We start from the raw sequence: 24,725 nt of genomic DNA on the forward strand, positions 1-24,725 counted from the left end.
GTTATAGGTGGGCTATTTATTTTTGTCCATTTAAAAAGATTTCTGAGTATAATAATATGGGACAGAGAACTGAAAAGTCAGTTTGATAATCTTGACCAATCTGACCAACATGGTGAAACCCCGTCTCTACTGAAAATATAAAAATTGGCTGGGTGTGGTGGCGGGCACCTGTAATCCCAGCTACTCAGGAGGCTGAGGCAGGAGAATCACTTGAACCTGGGAGGTGGAGGTGGCAGTGAGCCAAGATCACGCCACTGCACTCCAGCCTGGGTGACAGAGCAAGACTCGTCTCAAAAAAAAAAAAAAAAAAAAAAAAGAAAATTTTCGCAAAACTCCTTCCCTTTCCCCTGCCTGAGGATGTTCGGTTTGCCTGATCCCAGGACTACCCGGGGCGGGAAGGAGAGCAGAGGCCAGAGCCAGAGGGGAGAGAGGAGACAGCAGATTTGGCCGGATGTCAGAGCAAAGTCTGGAGCTGAGAGGGATAAAACAAATCTGGAGACATCTGGGGAGATGGATGGTAGAGAAACTTTTGGACTTACTGCTCTGGGTCATGTGATTGACACCCTTATGCCACTTCTTCTAGAGACTGCAGAAAAGAATAAAACCATTTTCCCATGCTTCACAGTGTGGCTGGCTCATGCTTCTTTTGGATGGAACACTGAACTAAGGCTGACCACCCAGCAGCAAGCTTCCTTCCTTTGCTTATGTGTAAAGTGCACTGATGTCATTCTCCAAGCTACAACTGTTATGCCTTTGCGGATCTGACTGAGGGAGCACTGCAGAACACCAACAATTGCACAATTAATTGAACTACTGCACAATTAGTTTTGAACATTACTATTCATAAAATATGAAGAAAAAGTTACTTAGAGAATTTTCAAGAATAGTTCTGATGCAGAAACAATCTGTGCTATAACAAATTTTTCTCAAAGAAAGGATAAAAGGTGGCTTTTTAGTCTAACAGGGCAAGAATCAACATAAAACTGCTGGATAAAGCTATAGTAACACCTCAAAGTCTAAGAAGTTGACCCATTATTTTCTAACAGAGAGTTATATTACCTAAACAGGGTTATGTATATAATTCATGAAGCTCTTTGTCTTGCTATAACAAATCTAGGTGGTTAGTAATTGAAAAACAAAATAAAAACGTGTTTTTATTTGTGCTCTTAATAAATCTTCAGCATGGAATGTAAAAAATAAAAAAGAGCTCTAGATGGTAGGTCAAGAAAAATTCTAACAAGTAGCAAGAACAAATTGCCTTAAAACTTGGTAGCTTAAGACCACCATTTCCTATGGTCATGAATTCTTTGGGCCCGCAATTTGGACAGAGGTGTTGTCTGGGGCCTGAGCTGGGAGATTCCACAGCTGGCAGCTGTACTTGTTGGAAAGGCCGTTCACTCCTATGTCTGGAGGTCAGTGCTGACCTCCAGGCCCTTCTACGCAGCCCTCGCCACGTGGGCCCCCTTGGGCATCCTCCCAGGACAATGACTAGATCCCACGAGAGCAAGTCAGGTGGGGCAGTGTTGCCTGCCACGACCTGCCTCAGCACCAGCCCTGTCTTCTCTTCATCTGGGCAGCCATGACCATCCTGCCCAGCATCCTCGGCAGGGAAGGAGGCTCCATCTCCTGATGGGGGTAGCAAGGCTCTGGAAGAGCATGTGGGACTCCAATGTGGTCGTATTTAGAGCATAATCTGCCATAGTGGCTTGGTAGAGCTCATCTCTGTGAGCTTCAGCAGTGCTCATTTTCTGCGCACCATTCAGCACCCTCTTACTCCCAAGAAGGGATGACATTTCCTTTGTGAAAAATGCTCCTGGAAATAAATTCCAATGCAAGTGCTGATGGAGGAGGAGAAGAGGCTCAGCAGAGATGGTTCTTAGTCAGAAATCTGAAATATTAAGGAGTGAGATGTTAAATATGACAGCGGTAAAGGAAAAAAAAATTCACGTAAAACCAGCGTGCTGCTGCTTCAGCGTGATATTCCAGTGCCGTCCGAGAATTTGGAGACGGTGAAGGTCTTGGAAAGTCTTTCTAGTGAAGCTCAAGGTCATATAATCTATGCAGAATGATGTGATTTTAATAACTCCATGAAAATGTTTTATCATTTACAGTTCAATTCAGTTCATCACCAAAATTCATTAAATTGCAGCCATCAATGAGGTTGATAACTGTGATCCAGAAAGATGGAAATGCAATGCCTCAGTAAAAAGCATCCAGGAGGTCTAGAGCCTCGGCTGAGGGAAGCAGCACAGGAAGCAGGGTTGGCTATGGGCAAGCACCAGTAAGAACCAAGGCCAGCAGGCCAGGGAAAGAGTGGGACTCCAGTCTCTGGGAATAGGATGCAAAGACTTAAGACAAGCCCCTCGCACAGCCTGAGCAAGCATAGCAGAGGCTTCATGGGCAGGAGGGGACCTCAGCATCCCAGGCTGGGGCCACACACTGGGGCCAAATGAACTGAACTCTGGCCCTGAGTTTGTGATGGTTCAGGCACTACCTGGAGTGGCGCTGGGCAGTCTCCTCCCTACAGACTGAGCACAACAGAGGCCTGAAAAAGTCTCTGGGCCTGGAAGCTCGAAGCAATGCTGCCCACACTCCCAGGAGCCTGGTTTTGGTTATGAGAGCAGGAGCTGTGGCATCTCCTAAATGAGACAGTTGTATAGCGAAATTATTAAAATCAAGGAAATCTGTCAGTAATTTGTGGTTTTTTTTTTTATCACTGCAGTAAGTTGAAAACTATGATTACAGTGGAAAAGAAAAGAACAAAAGAATGACTACCAGTTACTCAAAATGTACAACGGAAGTGAGTGAGCTGACTGCAGGATTGTGACCATGAGCCACCTCACACGTACCTACAGCCTCGCGCCACTCTGCCAGCGCGTACCCACAGCCAAGGGCCCATCAGCAAGCTCAGCCCCGCAGCCACTCATGACTCTCCAGACTCATCTGTGTCAAAACAAAACTAAAGTTTCCCACTTAATAAAAGCGAAAGGCTAATAGACTTGAACATTTACTGCATGTTTTTGGGTATGCCTTAATCTCTCCCCTGGCTAAGCTGCCATCATATAAATCAGAGTCATGAGTTATCATTGTTCTAGTAGCAATAAAAATAATAATAAAAGCACTGTGAGGTCAGAAAATGTCAAGACCAGTCAGAAAAATGAGCGAGACATAAAACAAAGTATAAAGGACCAGCTAGGATTGGAAAAATTCAGGTACTGTACCTCCAAGTGTACTACAGCAGGAGGTAGCTGCCACTGCTGTTTTATTTAATGAGTCTCCACATAAATCCCAGCTGCTAACCATGTGATAAGTCCATCTCAGAACACGAGAGGCCCCATTCACTATCGGTGTTCAGGCCTGGCTGCCATTAATGGGAATTTCACTTACAGTAAGGGAAAAAACAGATCTTGAAATGTTCTGTTGGATCTAAATTGTTAGCTTTTTAATTTTAGTATCAATTGGTTTGACTCTTTTTTAAACAACAAAATTAATATGCAAAGTCTCTTCATCTAAATACATGAAAAAGGAGAGCGAACAAGTCCTGGATACTTGAAACATTTTTAATGTGAAGAAGGTATAAAAACATTTTCCTGGACACCAAAGACAGAATTCAGACTGCAGAGTAGAAACAAAGCCCACATCAATTTCATAAGCTGCCTGAAATGCGTAAATACAGAAAAGAGGGGATTTTGTTTGGAATATTTTTTGTGGGACACACACACTTTTGTAAACTTTTTAACCCTAAGGTTTTGCTGGCAAATGCATCATTTTTCAAAGAGGAGTGTGTACAGGACTGAAATGTGGACCTCCGCCTGGTGCTGGAGGTGCGGCTAGTGGGAGGTGGCATGGGAGAGTGTGGAGAAGGCAACCCGAGACAGGCAGACTGGGAGCCCAGACCTGCCACTGCCCACCGTGCAGCCTTGGCAGGTTGCTCACCCTTGCTCTCAGTCGCCCAGATGTCAAATTGGAATATTAACATGTGGAGGTTAGACAGGCAATGAGGAAAGGCTTGGCAAGCAAGCCAGAAACAGGCACAGAGAGGAAACCATGAGTCACAAGTAAGGGAGACAGAGGCAAAGACTGGGAGCCGACCAAGGCCACAGTCGGGAGGGCGATCCAGAGTTCAGACCAGGGAGGTGGAGGAACAGGCAGGCTTAAAGAATGCAGGGCAGAATTGCACAGGTAAAGGATGTCTTACGCGTACTGTGTACTCCAATAGATTCTTCAATTTCTTCAAAATTAAAAAGCAATGGGACAAGAGTTAAAGGGAGGCAGTAGCACATGAATGGCTTAATTCTGGGGGCATTTTGTTGGTTCCTAAGAGGTATGCATCAATTCATTCACAGGCTTTACTATCCTGGGGTTTCCTGGCAGAAATGTCTGGGAAGATCTGCCTGGAAATAGTTACAAGAAAGAGGTAGTTTCTGATATTACACTAGCAATGGAAGGGGAACAATAAGACCTGCAGGTGATGACTTCATTACTTCAGGTAAGAGAAAAAGAGCTTCTGTCAGAATTCTCCTTTTTCACAAACCTCTAATTTAGGGCTAACCTTCAATCTAGTCATTAAGAAATATCCAAGTTTCTCAAATGCTGGAATTTGGCTCAAATGCTGTTAATGGAACTCTATATTTTAGGTCAAATAATTTTAACTCTTTCAAAAGCCATTTGTTGGATTTTAGTTAAAATAAAAAAATTAATTAACTTAGATCTCTGGACACCCTTTCATTTTCCTCTATGTGTTAGTGTAAAACTGCAAAGCAATTCTGCTGCTACCCACCTGGAGTTAGGAAGTGACTCTGCAGACTGAAGGGCATGATCCCCAACGAGACAGCCCTCACTTCGGGCACCAGCCCCGGTTTGCGGGTCCCCAGGTCACCTGCACTTATAACCAACTGGTTATAAACCTGAGGGGTCTCCACCTTAAGTTTCATAATTTGCTAGGATGACTCACAGAACTCAGGACACAATAGTCATGTAATGACAGTGTTATTAGAAAGGATACAACTCAGGACCAGCCAAATGAAGGGACAGCAGGGGACGGTCTGGAAGGGCCCCAAAGGCAAAGCTTCCATGTGCTCAAGATGCATCACCCCCTTATTACATCAACGTGTTCACTACCCAGAAGCTGCACTGCCCAGGGTTTCTATTGAGGTTTCATTACATAGTCATGACTGACTGAACCACTGGCCGTATGCTGACCTCACTTGGCTCAAGGCCCTGACTCTCTAAGCCCATGGTTGGCTTATCTAGCTTGGCCAGCCCCCACCCTGAAACCATACAGGGGCCCACCATGAATTACAGAGACGCTCCTATTACTTAGGAAATGCCAAGGATGTAGTCTCCCTCCTAGGAATCAGGACAAAGGCCAAATTCTTTATTATATAAGTTAGATAGAACTTGACAAAAAATTATTTTTTCTTTTTCTTTTTTCTTTTTTTTTTTTTTTTTTTTCCTGACAGGCTCTTGCTCTGTTACCCAGGCTGGAGCACAGTGGTGCGATCACGGCTCCCTGCAGTCTCGACCTCCCAGGCTCAAGCAATCCTCCCACCTTAGCCTCCCTAGTAGCTGGGACTACAGGTGCATGCCACCACACTTGGCTAATTTTTGTGTATTTTTTTTGTAGAGATGGGGTCTCACTATGTTGCCCAGGATAGTCCTGAACTCCTGGGTTCATGTGGTCCTTCCACCTCAGCCTCCCAGTGATGGGATTGTGGGTGTGAGCCACCACACCCAGCCTAAAATTACTTTCTAATTGTATCTTACTGCTGGTAGCATAGCTAAATATTATGCTAGCATTTAAAGAAGTGGCATATCTGTTTAAATAATATCACACTTATATTTATGAGCCTCTATCATTTGTGATCCACTCTGGTATATTCTATCAGTCTTTCCCCATCTCGTATTCATAAAGATACATTTTTCTGTTCCTAAATATATGACATTGCATTTATTGCTATGAAAGTTCTTATTATTTTTGATGAACTGCTTCTCACATTTTCAGAGTCATCCCGAAAACCTCACTCTTTCTGTCAACAATCTTATCAATCCTACTCACTTGGTGAGAAATCCAGAAATAAATGGTCACACTCCAGTATGACAGCTCAGAAAGAAATTTTCAGCATTTAGGGCTTATTAGACAAGCCCCTCTTCTCAAAAAGAAGATGAGCCAATAATTAGCAATAATAATAATAAGAGCTCACAATTACTGAATGCCTCCAAAGTCTCCATGGGAGTTAGGCATGGTCTTACCACAGCCCAGTAGGGCAGACACTACTATTTTCTTTATTTTATAAAGAAGCAAAAGTGAAATGTAGAGAGGCTGAGTAACTTGTTCAGATTCACACAGAAAGTGAAGTTGGCTTTTAAAACTCTTTGACTCTAGCACCTAAACTCGTAGCTGCTGTTGGCTTACCTACCTGTTTTAAAGGAAACAAGCAGATAAAAATTTCATGAGGCAAATTTTACATGAAGTTTCCAAATTTTCCAACATATCGAGGTTTTCTATAGTTTTTCTATAGCGGTTATATATAGTATATATCGTTTTTGTATAGTATATATGTTTTTCTATAGTAGCTATATATAATTGTATGATTTGAATTTTCATTTATATCCACATGTACCGAGGAATATGTGGTCTTCAGTGAATGCCAGTTCATTGACAACAATCGTGATACTTAGGGATTAAGTGTGAAGAAGTTCTGCTGCTGCCTGCTTTACCTCTTGTGGTAGGCTGAGTAATGCCTCCCAAAGATGTTCATGCCCTAACTCCTAATCAGTGACTATGTTACCTCACATGGCAAGATGGTCTTCACAGATGTGATTAAGAGAATGCTGAGTTGGGGAGTGATCCCGGCTGTCTAGGTGGACCCAATGTCATCAAAGGGCTACAAGGCAAAAGGTCAGAAGACAGAGAAGGTAAGTGATGATGGAAGCAAAGGACAGAGAATGTACTTTGTAGGCACTGGAGAGAGCCACAAGCCAAGAAATGCAGGTGGCCTCTAGAAACTGGAAAAGGCAAGGAAACAGATTCTCCCCCAGAGCCTCTGGAAGGGATGTAGCTTTGCTAGATACCTTGACTATAACACTCATTTGGACTTCTGATTCCAGAACTGTAAGATGATAATTTGTGTTTGTCTCAGTTTGCTTGGGCTGCCAATACAAACTACCTTGTACTGGGCGCTTAAACACAGAAATTTATTTTTTCACAGTCCTGGAGGCTATACTTCTGAGATCACACTACCAGCATGGTCTTTTTCTAGTGAGGATGCTCTTCCTAGCTTATAGATGGTGGCTGCATTCTCACTGTGTTCTCAACCGTGGTGGGCTGGGGGAGAGCTCTGATGTCTCTTCCTCTTCTTATAAGGACACTAATCCCATTATGAAGCCCTGGCCTCTTGAACTCATCTAAACCTAGTGATCTCCCAAAGGCCACATCTCCAAATACGATCACATTAGGAGTTACGGCTTCAACATATGAATTTTGGGGAGACACAATTCAGTCCACAGCAGTGTTGTTTTAAGTCACTGGTTTTGTAAAATCAGAAAAAATAAGAAACAAGTATGGTTTGTTCCCTTCCTCCTAAGTGGAATTAACATATTATTTCCTGTTCCTAGAATACAACGTGCATTTTGGTGTTTTTAGGAAAGATTAAACCTGAATATATTTTTAAACTTTACTACTGTTTATAATATACAGCCAAATGACACATTTTTTAATGAATTTTTAATCTAATCAAAATAGCATATATAAGTAATATAGAAAGTCAAATATTGATGAGACTGATAATAAAAAACAGAAATCTCTTGTTTCTTGCTCCTCCCACCTTGCCAGACTCTTCAGAGTCCCCTTTCAATACTTATAGTTTGCCAAATGATGTGTCTATTCTGTTATCTCCTGATCGATGTATTTGAGGAATTAACTACTGACTTATTACAGCACTACAGAATTTTTAGCATATTTATATACTTTTAAACTCACTTCCCCTCTATAATTACTTCTCAATTTTTGGTTAAGTCTATATTCATAGTAGCAATTATTAGTTTCTATATAAATATTATTTTCTTCAGAGTCAACTAGTATAACATGATTTCATTCCTTTCTTTAAAAACCCATCCCCTTTCCCCACCAGGCTTAACTGTTAGTTTTTTTTTTTTCCTCGGATTAGTTTTCCTTATATATCATTTTCTCACACTCTCCAACTTTCTATAACACACATGCCAATGTAATTTTTCATACCTTCAAACCTGTCAGAGAACCTACTGCTTCCTTTATACTCTTCTCCTGGAAACATCTCTCTTGAAGGGATCAGTGTTCAATCCAGTTTGTTTCACCTTCGATACTGATCGTTTCACCTAGACCAGCTACTGTTGTCTGCTTGGGACTTCCTTTGCTGTCATCCTGAGAATTCCCTTCTCTCTCTGTGTTGGATCTCCTGCAACTATTCCTGAATACTACACCTTCACCTTTCTTGATGTATTCCCTTGTTTTGGTAGAGTATATCTACCAATAGCTTTCTCAGAAAAGTACATGGAGGATAATTACATTAAAAATGATATGTGTTTGAAAATATCTGTAATACCTTGACTTGGTTTAGAATTTCAAATTAAAAGTCATTTCCAAAATTTAGAGGGTGGTTTTGCTCTACTGGCTTCTTATTCCAATATTGATAGAATGCCAAATTTACTCCTGATCATGTGTCTGAAATCTGTACTTCTGGAAGTTTTATGATCTTCTTTTTAACTCCAATGCTGAAATATGACAATAACAGTATTTGGTGTGGGTCTTTGTTCATCCACTGAGCTGGACAATTACACAGCCTTTACAATCTCAAGAATTACATTCTGCTCTGGGAAATTTTCTTCACATATTCATATGATAATTTCCTTATATTTTCCATCTCTCACTATGAAATTCTTATTAGACGTTTTCACTCTTCAGTATATCCTCTAATCCCCATGTATCTCATCTTCACCCCTTTCTTGATGCCCTTTCCCTATCTACACTCACTGCAATAGTGATCTCTTCTAGTTTCAACAAACGACTTCTTCAGGTTTCCTCCAGGGGCACTGTGGGGCAGTTTCCTGGGTCATGATACATTCCCCAATGTCCTGTGTTCTATGATAGTCTCAGAACCCATGATAAAATGACTATGCATTTGTGAGGTACTTCTCTACTCCAGGACGGCTTTAGGAGCCTATGAATCTGTTCTAGGGATAGAGATAGAGGTTAACATGAGCTTAAGAGTTCCAGCTCACTTCAGAACAGTTTACAAGAAATTCAGATAAACTTATAAATTCCATTTCCCCTTAAAGTAGGCCTGAACCAGGGTGGGAAACCTTAAATGACCTCTTTCAAGAAGTTCATGAACAAAAATCTGACTTATGATCTTTAAGATGTCCATGGACTTGATGAGTCTGCTTTTATGTCAGCGAATGTCATCAACTCCAGGACACCTGGATGTTTCTGAGCCACCGCAGGTGGAGACTGGAGTACCTTGTGTACAGAGGTGATACATATAGTTTATTGTGAAGGCAGCTCATCTTCCTACTTTAAAATGCCAAAGGAAGTCAAAAGCCACGTAGAGGAAAATTACTACCCTTTTCCTTCATTCTCTGCAATTTTATGGTCACCTGGAATTCTGGGTTTCTCATTTTGCTTAGTATTCCTGGAGAAACACAAATTCCCTGCCAGTGTATCTCACATCTCAGTGCTTCTCCCAAATGTCTAAGATTTTAAAAAAACAGAAAGTTTGACCAGCTTATTGCCAAAAATGAAGAAATGTTTGTACTCAGTTTAAAATATAATGTGCTTAGGTCTATAGGACAGAGTCGCCAATAATGGTAGAAGTGGAATGATGGAAAGGGCTTTACACACTTACGTGGGAATAACTTCATTTTAAGTGAACAGGGGATGAAGACGGATACTTCTAAACAAAGATTGGGTCAGTGAATGATTATCCCAGGAGGATGAGAAAAAAGAAACAACAAAATATAATGTTTGGATCTATCTGAGGAGTTTATCCTAACATTTTGAAATGAATTTACTGGCCACTTTTCCAATGCCCTATCAACACCTAGAGGGTTCTTTCTCCTTTTATGATAAACCCATGAAGATTTCCAGTTAAATAATTGCATTCCAAATCCCATTTACGTATGTCTACTCTAATCCAAAGATTTATTAATCTAAGATATTCTCTAAAATAACTTCACTGAGGCAAAAAAAAAAATACTTGGAAAATTGCAGCACCATATATAAACCACTGAGGTGGTACAAAACATTTAAATAAACAAAGACACATGTATATCAGCAAAAATCACAGGGAAAGGAAACTACGGCATTATATAGAAAGCTGGGTGTTTGGTTGGTGGTCGAAACCATGGAATGTTCTATGTCTAGGGACAGAATCTGAGGTCAAATCTGGTACTGAGAAGCTGCAGAAAATGTACTAGCCTTAGAGAATTTGGCCTCAGTTTGACTTCATAACACAGTAGGGTTAACACTGTTGGGTTGAAGGAATGATTAAATATCATTTTCAAAACTTCCTCTCAACTCTGGATATTAACAATGGTACCCAAATCATTTTATAGATTGATTGAGAGCTATATACATTTCCTGACAAGACCTTTATATGTGTACTATTCGGGACACGTCATTCTTATCCCAAATATATAAAAATCATATGGAACCTCTGAAAAGGAGACAGATGGTCCATTCTAGATTAAATGTATTTAAAAGTTAATTTACAGGGGTGAGCCACTGCACCTGGACGATGATATCCTAAGTAATCTAAAATGAGGCTGGGGTCAAGGTGCGGTGGCTCACCCCTGTAATCCCAGCACTTTGGGAGGCTGAGGTGGGGTGGGTGATTACTTGAGCCCAGGAGTTTGAGACCAGCCTGGGAAACATAGCGAAGCCCCATCTCTACAAAACAAAAACAAAAACACAAAAATTAGCCAGGCATGGTGGCGCATGCCTGTAGTCCCAGCTACTCTGGAGGCTGAGGTGGGAGGATCACTTGAGTCCGGGAGGCAGAGGTTACAGTGAGCTGAGACAGCACTACTGCACTCTTGCCAAGGTGACACAGTCAGACTCCGTCTCAAAAATAATAACAATCATCATCATCATCAAAAATGAATGTATTTTCATACATAGACTTCTACATGCTACCAAAGACTCTGAGGTACAGATTTTTTGTTTTTTAAGGAATTCCCAGTTATATCTAAAACCCACAAGGCATCAAAATTACACTAATGCATACAACACTAGTCTAATGGCTAAAATGACTGTGTGGAGTCTACTGATCTTCCTTCTGAATATTCATCCCTTTTCCCATATATCTGTATATATACATACAGATATATGATGCATATATGCATATATTTCTCTTAAATCATTTATTAGGAAGAGTATCTATGCGTGCCTCATAAACTGTATTTCCTTATTGGGGAAAAATTAAAAGGTGAATGAAACATTACAGATTTTAAAATGATAATCAAACAATGAGAAATGGGCAAATCAGGAGGAAATATGCTTTGAATGCAAATAAAATTTAAAGATTAGTTCAAAACAGAAAGTTCACATGAAATGCTTCAATGGTATAATAAGCTTTGCAATTTAAAGAACTTGTAAATAAATGTTCTTATTCTGAAAGCAGTTCATTCACATTAACAGTCATCCACATTTCAGTGTACTCAATTTAAACATCTCCTTAATTTTAAAATATTCAAGAAACATTTGCAACAGGACCCTAAATAAGCACTCAGATGAATGCTAATAATTTATCCGAAATATATAATCTGCATAGTCACAGTGACCCAATAAACAGTGAGGCCAGAGATGGGGGGAAGGCGGGGACTGGCCAGTTCTCTTCTCTCTACAAACTCCACCAAATTAGCAGGATGCCTGTATCGGAAGAGAAAGTGGTAACCAGAGGTGTGGCTTCAGCGGAAAGAGTTCTTCTCCCCATGTAAGCACAGGGTTGTGTATGCTTCTCTATTCAACAACCCCACAGGACCTGGAGGGCTCTGCAGCTGTGAACTGTGGACAGGGCTCTGGGGAAGAGATCCTGGAATGCTGGCTCTGGAAGTCCACCCAGCCTCATAGTTCCTCCTTGTAGGCTTACCGAGATCTGGGATCTGTAGTCATTAAATCTTAGGCAGGAAGACATGTAGGAAAAAAAATCTATGTAAGAAAAAGTATGAAACTTGTCATTTTTCAGTATGATAGATCTTCAAAAAATAGGATAAAAAGTGAAGCTGGTCCAGGTTATAGACTACTCTTAGTGTATTTTCAGACCCTTGTGGCACTTTTAAAAAATACAAATTCTCAGGCCTCACGCCTGCAGACTGCAATTAGGTATACTGGAGAGGGGCCCAGGAAACTCTAATTTTATAAAGCTCCCCAAATGCTCATAATGATCAAGTCATGTTTGGGAGCTCAGATTTGATGCTGTTTTGGAAAATTTCCTTGGGATAATATGACTTCAAATCACAACCCTCAAAATTTATTTCAATCTTCTAATATTGAACTTCTACATACACTTGCTCCATTAGCAACATAATAATTCACTGACCCTCTCGCTTCAGTTAAAAATAACAATCATAAAATATTAATTTGCTGTGTTTTCCATTCAAATGCTCACTTTGTTTTAGTAGCGAAAAACTTGAGGAAGCAGAGAACAAGCTTCTTCCTTCCTCTGCACTTAGGAAAGATGTAGCTCCTTCAAACTGTAGTGATGTTTGATACGCTCATCAGATGCTTTACCCATTCCCTTACAGTAAGTCAGTAAAAAAGTGATCTGATTCAGTGAGGAATGTTTATTCAAATGGCTCAAAAATGTAGGAAGAATGGTGTTACTATATGCCCAACAAATGATCCTTAGATCATGACTGCTGTGTGCTCAAGCAGGGATCCCTAAACCCCAGGCCAGGGACCAGTACCAGTATATGGCCTGTTAGGAACTGGGCCGCAAAGCAGGAGGTGAGCAGCCTGCAAGCGAGCATTACTGCCTGAGCTCTGCCTCCTGACAGATTAGCCAAGGCATCAGATTCTCACAGGAGCGTGAACCCTACTGTGAACTGCACGTGCGAGGGATCCAGGTGGCACACTCCTTATGAAACTCTAATGCTTGATGATCTGAGGTGAAACAGTTTTGTCATGAAAGCGTCCCCACCCCCCAGTCAGTGGAAAAATTGTCATTTAAATGTTATAGCTGGCCTGCTATAAGCACAGGTGTATCTGGTAAACTCCACATGTTAAAAAGGTAAAAAGAACTCTCTCACTTCCTTCTTGAGCTTAGGTCATAAATATTTTAATAGACTTGTGTCCACCTATGCTGACTTTCTATGAAACTGAAAGCTCCTCTCAAGTAAGTGTTTTGTGATGTTTTGATTTGTACAATGAAAAGCACAGTGGCAAGTATATGTCAGTACTATCATCATCATCAGAGTTACTAACATTTTAAAATAGTCACAGTCCAAAGCTACACACATTAATGTGTTTAATTTCCCACTGGAATCCTATGAGGTAAGTATGAATATTATCTTCATTTTACATAGAGAGAAACTGAGGCAGAAAGAACTTAATAGACTTGGCCAGCATTTCACAGCTAGGATGTGTGGCAGAGCCGGTATCTGAACCCAGGAAGCTCAGAAATTATGTTCCAAGGGACACCATTCACATAAATACAAGGGAAGGTGTGCATTTGTGGACCCCAATGGGCACAGCTTGGAGTGTCCTCTATAATTACCAGATCCCATGCCTTGGCATATACCAGGACAGGTTTGCTAACAAGTCAAGGCATCTGCACTTTGATAACAGACACTTTGATGTCTCTGTTTGTTTCAGTTTTGTCTCTGACTCATTTTTCAGTTCTAATGCTAGGAATGTCACATAGTTATTTCCTGGTTTTATATATTCAAAAGTACTCCTGGAAAACATCTTCCTGCAATTCTTGAACAAAGGAGTCAAAGGACACAAAGTTTTCACATTTTTCCAGTTTTGGTTTCGATCTCAGTTTGTACCAGCTTCAGAAAAGCACTCATTCCAAAGTTCTAGAAATTTCATTAACTGTGACTGCACTCTGAAGAACAACCTTGCTTAAATTTTGATGTATAAATTTACTTCTAATTACAGAGCACACACACACACACACACACACACACACACACACACACACACACACTCCTGTCTTAAAAGTTTTAAGAATTTAAAAGCTATCATTGCAAGATGCAACTCCACACTGTGGTATGATTTTCATATAAGTCACTGTAGTGGATAATTTTAAAAGAAACCAGATTTTTAAAGAAATATTAAGAAACTGTTTCTGTACTTAGTTCTCAGATAAGAGCAGAACCTGTAGAACCACTGAGTCTTGTGCAAACCTTTTGTGTGGGTGGGTCTGGAAGAGCATCCAGGCTTTCTCGTAGCTGGAATGTGAGTGAGGCCCATGTGGAGGTAGAAGCGTGAGGCTCCTTTGGATCAGAAGGCTCTGTAATTCTGCCTAAAGCCAGCCACCCGCTGAATCTCCAAGAGAAGGCAGAAGCCATCCCTTCTCTTGGCGTATTACTTGTTTGGGAGTCCTCCAAGCGAATGTCCCCTAAATGTCAAACAGAACCGAGCACTGTAAAGTTCTGTTTTGCCAGTGCCTCCCTTGCAATCAGATCCCATTTTCTGGTTTTGGCATCGCATACTGTTGGAGAATACGAGACAGCTTTGTTGACACCTACACCGGGTGTGTGAACTGCAGGCTATGACACACTGGTGGCAACACAAACCTGTATCTTGCTTGCTTCAAAACATACTTCTTCCTTATGGAAAGTACTGGAACACAAATAACTTAAAAATCCCCCAACTTACTTCTGTCAAACATAGGGTGTTCTGGGCCTGGTCCATACTTCACCAGCCAGCAAAGAGGCATTTTGATCACTAAGACTTGTTTTCAAATAGGAACTTTCAAACCTTTACTCCTACCGATCCCTAGGATATCGTGTAGGTCAAAGATTAGCGAGGGAAGGGACTGGAGCCAGGGATCTGGGCTGGAGGTGGAGTAAGAGTGGAGAACTGGCCGTGACGAGGGTGGAGGGTGCGGGTGGTGAGGGGAGGCAGCTAGTTCTGTGCTTCCCGCTGGCAAAGAGTCCCCCGCTCCCTCCTTCTTTTCCCCTCAATGTTCAGATAATAAAAAACAGTCTCTTTAAAACATCCAATTTATTATGGATTTAATCTCTAACGATGATATGCTGGAGTGGATGGCATATATCTAAGAAAGCTCAAGCCTTGGCAACACGGTGCCTTTTGACTCCCAGCCACCTGCCTTTGGTCTAGTTTTCTTTTTCAAGTTGTGATACCTCTGATGGGAATAATTTTTAAATGGGAAAACTGTGATCAAGATATACTTTTAAGTCTGAAGGTCTTCATTATTATCGAAATAGGTGAAAGAAGACGAGAAAATAGGGCTGTGCTTTTCCTTCCCTACTTTCTAGTCACATTCTAGAATAACAGAAGTCAGGAAAGAAGGAAGGCAAAGCAAGGAAATCAAGAGAAATTGGCTGAGGGGCTGGGGAGGGAGGGAGAATTAAAACTGGAGGGAGACTCCAGAGAAGATGACTCTTGATATATGCATATGCTACCCATTTAATGCTGTATGTTGCCACTAACACACATTGTTGATTTCAGGGTTACAGCCTACGAAACAAACTGCGTACTTTGTTCCTAGATACACTAATTTTGGGACTCCCTCTCTGAACACACAAGAAAACTCAACCACTACTTCAAATACCTCCTCACACATTTATATCGGTTGGAGATTTGTTTAGATTAACAGACTCTCCAAGGGTTAAGATAGTAGGTCATTCATACCTTAATGTCTTTTTTTAAAAAAAATTAAAATCCCAGCTAGCTGCAATGGTCTCAGTGATTCAGAGCTTTGCAGTAAGGGAAGAGAGCAGGAGGCCAGGGGAAGAGGAGGCCAGCCTTCCCTTCCTTCCTCCCACCTTGACTAGGGCTGCTTGATGATGCCCATATGGTGGTTGGCCTCTGAAATTCTTCCTTCTCGACAAGGTCTCCTGAAATAAAATTTAGGTTTCCAAGGTGAATAAGGTCTAGTTTAAGTAACATGATATATGGAAATAAAGAAGCTTCCGATTCTGAGAACTCTGGTTGTGAACCCTAGCAACTCCAAACACAGGTTGTATTGATATTGGTGAGCTTCTTCAACTCTTTAAGTCTCAGTTTACTAATTTGTAAAAAGTGGATAGTAACACCAACCTTTCTCAGGAGGGTTAGACATCTATAAAAGGCCAGCAGAATGTTCTTATGACTCCTACTCACAACCATTTCTTTTCTTTTCTTTTTTTGAGATGGAGTCTAGCTCTGTCACCCAGGCTGGAGGGCAGTGGTGTGATCTCAGCTCACTGCAACCTCCGCCTCCTGGGTTCAAGTGTTTCTCCTGCCTCAGCCTCCTGAGTAGGTGGGACTACAGGAATGAGCCACCATGCCCAATTAATTTTTCTTTTTCTTTTTCTTTCTTTCTTTTTTTTTTTTTAAGCAGAGATGGGGTTTCACCATAATGGCCAGGCTGGTCTTGAACTCCTGACCTCAGTGATCTGCCTGCCTCAGCCTCCCAAAGTGCTGGGATTAGACATCTATTTCTTCAGAGCACTGCACAGTTATCATCAGCTCCTTAGCCCTGGGTGAAGCAGGCACAGCACAGCAAACAGCTGCAAGAAGTGGATGTGATTCTGCATCTGAAAGCACAGAGGTGGGTCTGGACCTCCAAGAATGGAGTCACACCAAAAGATGTCAAGGTGCTGAGTAAACTTCTGGGAAGAACTGCTGGAGGAGCGAACTCTGGTTATTGGTGATTCTTGAAGAGTGTGTCCTGTTTCAGGGTAGTGAATGTGACAGATCTCTGCAGCAGGCAGCTGCCACTTCATCCCTGCTCCTGAAAAGTGACACTCGGGGGATACAATCTGCTTCCAGGTGCTCCCTGGAGCCCGGACCATGAGGACCTGTGACTAGAATAGCCTGCCCAGAGCTGTAAAATGTGCTTATTCTATGAGACCTGCACCGAAATTACCTTTCAGGAACAGAGAAATATTCTGTGAGGAAGCTATGCAAGGTGGCCTCTTGAGGAAGGGGGCACAAGTAGACATTTCCAGTTTGTTCATGAGTTTTCAAAAAAGCAAGCTATGCTCCTTACAGGAATGAGAATCTTGCCTTGTTGGAGAATAATGAGTACACAGATTTTTGTGATTGTTATTCAAGCTGCCAATCCTGGTAGCTATTCAGTAGATAAGTAATTAGTAACAGTTTTGTTGGACCATGAATATCAGAGATTCATACCCTTTGAATAGAACCTTAATACAGCAGTAAAGGTTTATAGCTGTATAAAGCTGTCCAGCTGGAGTGGAGGCAACCCGCAACATTTTCCATGCAAAACCCACTCACATGATGCATTCCCCACCCCACCTCACTCCCGTCGGAGAGGCAGGGCAAAGGGAGCAGATGTTTGCACAGGAATTTTCCCAGGGCTTAATTCAAGAAGCTAAAACGGTGAGCACACCTGAGCAAATGAGGCCTGGCTCTGGCGGGCAGCCCCGGGCACAAGCCCCACATTTTTCCAAGACTATGTTTTCCGCACACAGAGGGCCATAGAGGGTAGAAAAGAAAGGCATTTTCAAGCTTGAAAGTTGGAATTCTGTCCACTTGCTATACTGTTCAACTTTATCAGCTTTCATGAGGGGACAAAGAAGAACCACAGTAATTTTTAGCTTGTTGAATTTTGTGGTTTATTTATTTACATCTCAGAGAAAGACTTCATCTAATGCTACCCTCCCACCCCGAATAAAAACGGCACTGGACACTATAATGTTGAAATAGCCACTGACCTTAAAAGCCACTGTCTCAGGCATTGCCAGTAACAAAATTGGGAGTTGGATATTTAAGCAAATTGTACTTAATAAAGGCCATATTTGCCTAAATAGAAAAACGGAGATGCAGTACCACCTAAAGTGAAAAAATGTTGAAAGTTTCAGTAGATTATTCCAATGTAAAATAAAATCAGCTTCTTCAAATATTTCAACAGAGGTACAAGTCTTCATTTGAGAATTTACATTTCCCATAAATTAATACTGTCCTAATGAATGTACAATTTTGCAGACACCAGTTAGTCTGGGATCTTGCCTATAGTCGTTACTCAATCAATATTACTTGAACTGAAGGACAAGACAGCAATCTGTGAGACCAAAAAAAATAATAAAGTTTCTACACAGCAAGCATTTTCTATAATAGGCATATCTCAAACTAATAAGGCAGGAAGTATATTTAAAAAAATGTTTTTGCTTTAGGTCTAAAAGATTTTCCTTTCCAACTATAAAACAGCTGAAATCATGTATCCTCAGCCCAACATAATTTCACGCCTAATTTATGGAAATAGAATACCAAAGGCCTCTGAAAGGGAGAGGGCAGGCAGGAGAGAAAGGATAGTGTGACATTAACACAGGGACCTGCTCCGCTGTTGTTCGGCAGGAGGTAGGCCTGGGCGAGTCTGCCCTACAGGGCGGCACAGTAAGATTCCAGCAAAAACATGTGTTATGCGGGGAGGAGGGGGCGCTCCGCTGAATGAACTTACTGTTACCTTTTTCCCCCTCTAACATAAGTCTTCTTTTTCCTGATACTGTCTGAATTTGAAACATCTAATTTAATCCATTGGAGGGCCAGTCTTCCTTTTATTTCCTGTCTGTACTGAAGCAGTCGCCTGTTTCAATTACGACTTTCTCCAGCTCCTACATTTCTTGTGCTCCAGCTGGCTCAAAGTGCACTTCCTTGGAAGGTAAAATGCACTAACTGTGCTGATCGGAGACTGATAGCTGGAGAGCCACAATATTTAATAGCTGCGCTGATAAGGAGGTTTAAAAAAATCCATTTTTGAGCCTAAACAAAAGGATATTATGTAGCTGCATGTTCAATTAAGATCTAGTTAAATTCTTTTTTCCCATTATGTGGAACCTCATGCAGGCAGCCGACATAACTCATAGTGTTATGGCAAATTTCATCGGCACTGTATGTTTGAGAAATGTTTCCCTCCTGCTTTTCAGTTAGTTACTGCTGATTTGGGACCAGCTTGGTGCAATTATTTCAAAGAACAGAAATGTGGGATTGATACGGCATTCTTGCAAAACCCTGGCTGGCTAAAAATAAGACTGTTTTGCAGTCGAGAAGGCAAAAAACGTCTCTGGGCTGTAAACACCAGTCAATGTATTTCTTTTCTGCTTTATGAAAACCACAATTTTTTTTTTCTTTTTTCCGTCTCTCCTTACTCATAGTGTAGTTTAATTACAGTTTAATCTCTTTCAGCGAGCAGCCCTTGAGACCTTATTGTTCAACCACAGTATTATCAAGGCTACAGCTACAATTTATGGCAAAAGGTGGAGGCTCCCCTTTAGAAAAACCAAAATGCTCCCTTCCCGTCCCCAAATAAATAAATAAATAAATAAATATAATAGTTACTTTATTACAAACTCACATTACAAATTTTTATTAGGCTCTAGAGATGCCAGGCCAATAATTAAAGAAATACCTGAGAGGTGTTGATCAACACTTACCCTGTTTAACTCTGCTGGGTCAATAAATCTGCAGGAAAACTTTTAAGTTAACAAGATTGTTTGGGCCTCTAGTTGCTGAAAATATTTGGTTACACTGAGGGGAAATGAGGTGGGAGAGAGTGGAGGAGAGGTTCAGAAGTAAAAAATGGACTCTCCACTTGCTTGGGGTACAGGAAATATACAGTAAAGAGTTTGCTGCAACTGAAGGGGTGAATAAGGTCAGTAAATTATTTTTGCTGCTTTAAGCTCACAGGTATGATTTAGTGTCTCTGAGTTTTAATACACATTTTGAAAGAAGTGCCAAAATCCTAGGGGTTTCAATAAAAGAGAAGGTAAAACTTGGCTGTTCACCACAAGAAAACAGATTCTAAGCATAAGGTGACTGCTCAAATTCAAGGCGAAACTTTAACCATTAATTTGTCGTTGTTTTTGTTTTTAATAAGATGCGCTGTTTCCTTTTTGTCTTCATTCTTTAAATGCTTTATGGTCAATTTGATTTGTAAATTCATTTGCTCTAAAGAAGCAAGAACAATAAAAGCTCTCTGTGCAGTTTGCCAGTCCTCACTGCTACGTGGCGAGTTCCCCTTGTGCACACCAGCTTGGTTCTAAAGAGGCCGTGGAAGCCATGCATTTCCCGTCAGTCTGAACTCACGGCTGGCCAGCGGGCAGATGCCCATGTGGCGCACCCCGGCCATCCCTGAGGCTCATCTCCACCACTGGTAACTGTGGCGTCTGCCACCTCCACTTCTCCTCTCTGCTTTTTTCTTCCCCACTGTTGGGATTCTGGGTAAAACTGTTGGCTTTATTGCTAATTTTGCCAGTGAATCAGAACTGCAGTGCGTGCTGGGCCTCAGCAGATTCACTACCACAGAACACTCAGATCTCCTATGTGTCATGAATTGTATATGCTTTCATTTAAAATTATAGAACTTCATTATACATTAACTTTATAGAAAGAAGCCAGCAAACAGAAAATTCTAAAAATTTATTAAAAACTCACTTCGAATCCTTATCAATAGGTTTTTTTTTTACATGGCAGAAATGTGTTTATTCTATTTTGTGATTTTCTAAAATTCTTTAACATCATACGCTCATTTTCAATGGCAGCTGAACTATATTACCCTTAATATTTTTTAGGCTAAAGTCATCTCTGCCAAACTTTAAGGCATAGAACACTAAGCTCTCAATGGAATGTATTTCCAAGGGCTTCAAAAGAATTAATGCCTTCGTTCGAGGAAAAACCTTGGTCTCTAAGTATCCTGTAGCCAACCTTCTAAAGAAGTTGAGTGGCTTTCTATTTCAAAAAGAAATGAAGACAGCTATCTTACCATCTATAACAGAGTGTGAACTTTCCCACCTGCTTTATTTCATTTTTGGAGCTGATGGGTCTCTCTTCAGTAACACAGAACTCATATCTCTGTCTTTATATTGTTAGATTTCTATAAGGTAAATTATTAGTTTAGTTCTTTGAGATGGTTCAATGCTAAGTTGTTGGATTTTTATTAAATATTAATATAAGAAGGGGTCTGACATTTATGCTTTATTTTTCCTGGTAGTTATATATGCACTACAGTATTACAAGATACACTGTTTCTTTTCTGACCAGGAGGAACATATCTTACTAAAAAGTGTATTTTGATGTATTGACAGTCCCCCACATACATGCCACTGTACAGAGTTATATGGTATTCTGCTGTACTGCTCTAACATGTTTACCATAAGCATTCTAACAGTACAGGGCAGCAGTTCCCAAAGTATGGTCCAGGCACCTCTGGAGGTCTCTAAGATGCTTTCGTTTGGTCTTCAAGGGCAAAACCATTTTTATGATAATACTAGAACCATACTTCTTTGGCATCCACATTCTTTCACCGATATACAGGAGATACTGAAGCAGTTAAGAGAACTCAACTGTCTTCTGTTAATGCAGACATTAATGAGATTTTTTTAAATTTTGAAACAATGCCACTTTACTAATATTTTTGTCTGGGAAAATACAGTTATTTTTCATAAAAATATTTATCACGTTATTTTTAAATGAATAAATATCCTTTAAATGTTGCAGTTTTATCTCCTACTATGGTTGATAGATATAACCCACATAAGCAAAAGTGCTTTTGGACCCTCAGCATTTTTAAGACTGTCAAGAGGAGTTCTGAGACAAAAACAGTTGGAGAAACTCTGGTATAAGGTATTTAGGTTGTTTCCAATTTTATGCTCCTTCATTATGAAACTTCAATTTATATGAAAATGTAGATATATGTAATTGTGGTAAGTATATAAAAATATATGTGGGTTCTGGGCTTGCTGGTATGAGACAGTAGTCCCAGCTACTCAGGAGGCTGAGGCAGGAAGATCTTGTGAGCCAAGGAGTTTGAGTCCAGCCTGGGCAACATAGTGAGACCCTGTCTCTAAAAAAGGAAACAAAGGAAAGAAAAAAAGCTTTAAAAAGGTATCTGGGTAATCAACTTTTCTCTCCAAGTCCAATTTAGTCCCTCATACATTGGAGGAAGGAGTTAGTCATTCAAAAATTAAAACAGGTCCTAGTATTTGCTTATCATAGGCTAACGTACTGAATACTACTAAAGGTTCTTATAAATTGAAAACTCGGTTTTGGATTAGAGAGGCAGATTCCTTTAGATTAGGGTTTATGCTGTCAATGTAATTCAAATCAAAGAAAGACTGAATTTCAGGATGGGTGCTCTATCAACTGTCAAAAGAGACCTCGAGCACATGGGAACACACACACACACACACACACACACACACACAGGCACGCACATGCATACACACAAATCCTTAATGAGACCCGAGTCTGTAGGCTCTTTTGTAACTGAACAAATCGGGGCTTAAACATTGTTTCCACTCTGTCCATTTTGTTATTTGACACCAAAACCGTCTGTTATTACAGCTATTAATAGTTGGCAGTGACATATAATAGATTTGAATTTGTCTAGGTTAGAATTTAGGATTCTTACATATCAAAATGAGAAAGAGGCTCTGTTGATATTTTCACATACTGATACTAGCATTGAATCACAGGGTTTTATTTAAGCCATGGTTACCTTTCAAAAATAGAACCGTAAATATCTCTCAACTTCAGGAACCAACTAATGGTTCTTCCTCTGAGTTGACAGCCACTGCTCAGTCTGTATATGTATGTCATCAGGTTTAGGATAAAGAAATCTCATCATTCAACCACTCCAGCCTTGTGAATTATGGATAGATTCTGTCTTCGTGCTATAAATATAATATGCATATTTGTCTTAATTTAGACCAGAAAAATCTCAATACGGGGAGAGGAGTGGAAGCAGTTTTTATGCTTTGAAAAAGCATTTTCAGAATTATAATTTTTTTTTTGAGACAGGGTCTTGCTGTGTTGTCCAGGCTGGAGTGCGGTGTGGCAATCAGGGCTCACCGCAGCCTCAACTTCCTGGGCTCAAGTGAGCCTTCTGTCTTAGCCCCCTGAGAAGCAGGACTACAAGTCTGTACCACCATGCCTGGCAAATTTTTACATTTTTTGTAAAGACGAGGTCTTGCTATATTGTCCAGGCTGGTCTCGAACTCCTGGGCTCAGGCAATCCTCCCACCTTGGCCTCCCAAAGTGTTGGGATTATACTGCACTCAGCCTAATTGTTTTGTTTTAGTCACAATATTTAGTTTAAAAATTCAAAGAACATATTAGAGGCAGTGAGATTTACTGATAGGGATCCCATGCTTAAGCTGACGGATTGTTACTCTCATACAATCCTGTCCCTGTTTCAATCTTAATCAAGGGGTAGACCCATGGACTGTGAACCCCATGAGGGCAGAAACTGTGTCCATTTTTCACCCTTGTTTTGACAATACCTATACCATAAACTCATTAGAATTCATTAGGATAGTTTTTATAAATGTATCTATTATTCTAATTTTTAACTGAATGACACCATCAAAGCCATTCAGTGGGGCCAAGGGAGGTGTTTTCAGTAAGATTCCAGAGCAACTGGATGTCCATGTGGAAAGTAATTAATCTCCATCCCTATCTCACATCACACACAAAATTAGTTAGCAGTGGATCATAGAGGTAAATGTGAAAGCCACAACTATGGAGCTTCTCAAAGAAACACAGAATATCTTCATAATCATAAGGATTAAGGCAAATATTTCTTAAAGGCACAAAAATCACTAACCATGAAAAAAATTATAAACTGGACTTCATGACAGATAAAAACTGCTCATCAAAAGAGAGCATTAAGGAAGCGAAAAGGAAAGCCACAGATTCGGAGAAATATTTACAATGGACATAACTAGCAGAGGACTTCATTTCTAGACTATATAAATAACTAGAAATTCATAAGGAAAAGCCATTTCCCACTGTATTATGTAATTTGCAGTACGCTTTTCTGCCTCCCTGATTAAACTGATAACTTCTTGTCATGTATTTGATCAACTGTGTGTTCACAGTTCCTAAGGTGAGTCAGGTACCAGGAACAAGGAACATGCTTGAATGAATGAACAAGTTGCTGCCGTGCTGTTGGTTTGATCCTATTTCTCAGGGCAAATGATGACTGTTAGTTGGAAAATTGGGGGCTCTTAGCTTTTCCTTATGATGAGGCTTGGCTAAGTTAAAGGTAGTCCTGAAGGTCACGTAACTAGTTTCATTTCCTTCTAATCTCATTTTTATTATTGCCACTTCTACCACACATACTGAAGTCTTACTTGTCCACCTCTTGCTAAACAGAGACATGAGGCAATGGCTACGGTGCGGTTAAATGAATGACTTGTAGAGCAGAGAGCTAGCTGAACATCTAGAACTTACTTTCAAAAGAAATGGAATTTTCTTATTGATCACTATTTAGAGCTTGAATTTAGATCCGGCTTCCTGACAGTGTTTCATACAGTTTAGTACAGAACTGAATTTCTCTAATCCTAGGTGCCAGGTACATACATACAATGGTTACATCAAAGGAGATAAATTTCAAGTTTTAAAATATTAAAAAATTAATATTGCCTAATGTTGCCATTTAGAAAAAGATCAACTTATCTTGAGAATTTCAAGATTTTCCTTTCCTCCAAACATATTAAAAGATAATAGCTAGAATTCCATTACTTACTAAACTGAACCCAACATTACAAAATAC

At 40.4% G+C, this 24,725-nt stretch overlaps 1 protein-coding gene across 7 annotated transcripts in view, besides 2 other annotated features; it reads right to left on the reverse strand.

The window, feature by feature from the left end:
- Positions 1 to 24,725, reverse strand: part of GMDS (GDP-mannose 4,6-dehydratase) — a 621,800-nt gene that overhangs the window by 160,293 nt on the left and 436,782 nt on the right. The gene's annotated exons all lie outside the window — the stretch shown is intronic.
- Positions 2,687 to 2,756: an enhancer, noted in NCBI's record as "active region_23869". NCBI's record gives its function as "activates an Ori minimal core promoter by ATAC-STARR-seq in GM12878 lymphoblastoid cells {active_cell/tissue: GM12878}" and the evidence as "EXISTENCE:reporter gene assay evidence [ECO:0000049][PMID:35858748]".
- Positions 13,107 to 13,286: an enhancer, noted in NCBI's record as "active region_23870". NCBI's record gives its function as "activates an Ori minimal core promoter by ATAC-STARR-seq in GM12878 lymphoblastoid cells {active_cell/tissue: GM12878}" and the evidence as "EXISTENCE:reporter gene assay evidence [ECO:0000049][PMID:35858748]".

Source organism: Homo sapiens, chromosome 6 (assembly GCF_000001405.40).
Source record: "Homo sapiens chromosome 6, GRCh38.p14 Primary Assembly".
Taxonomy (NCBI): domain Eukaryota; kingdom Metazoa; phylum Chordata; class Mammalia; order Primates; family Hominidae; genus Homo; species Homo sapiens.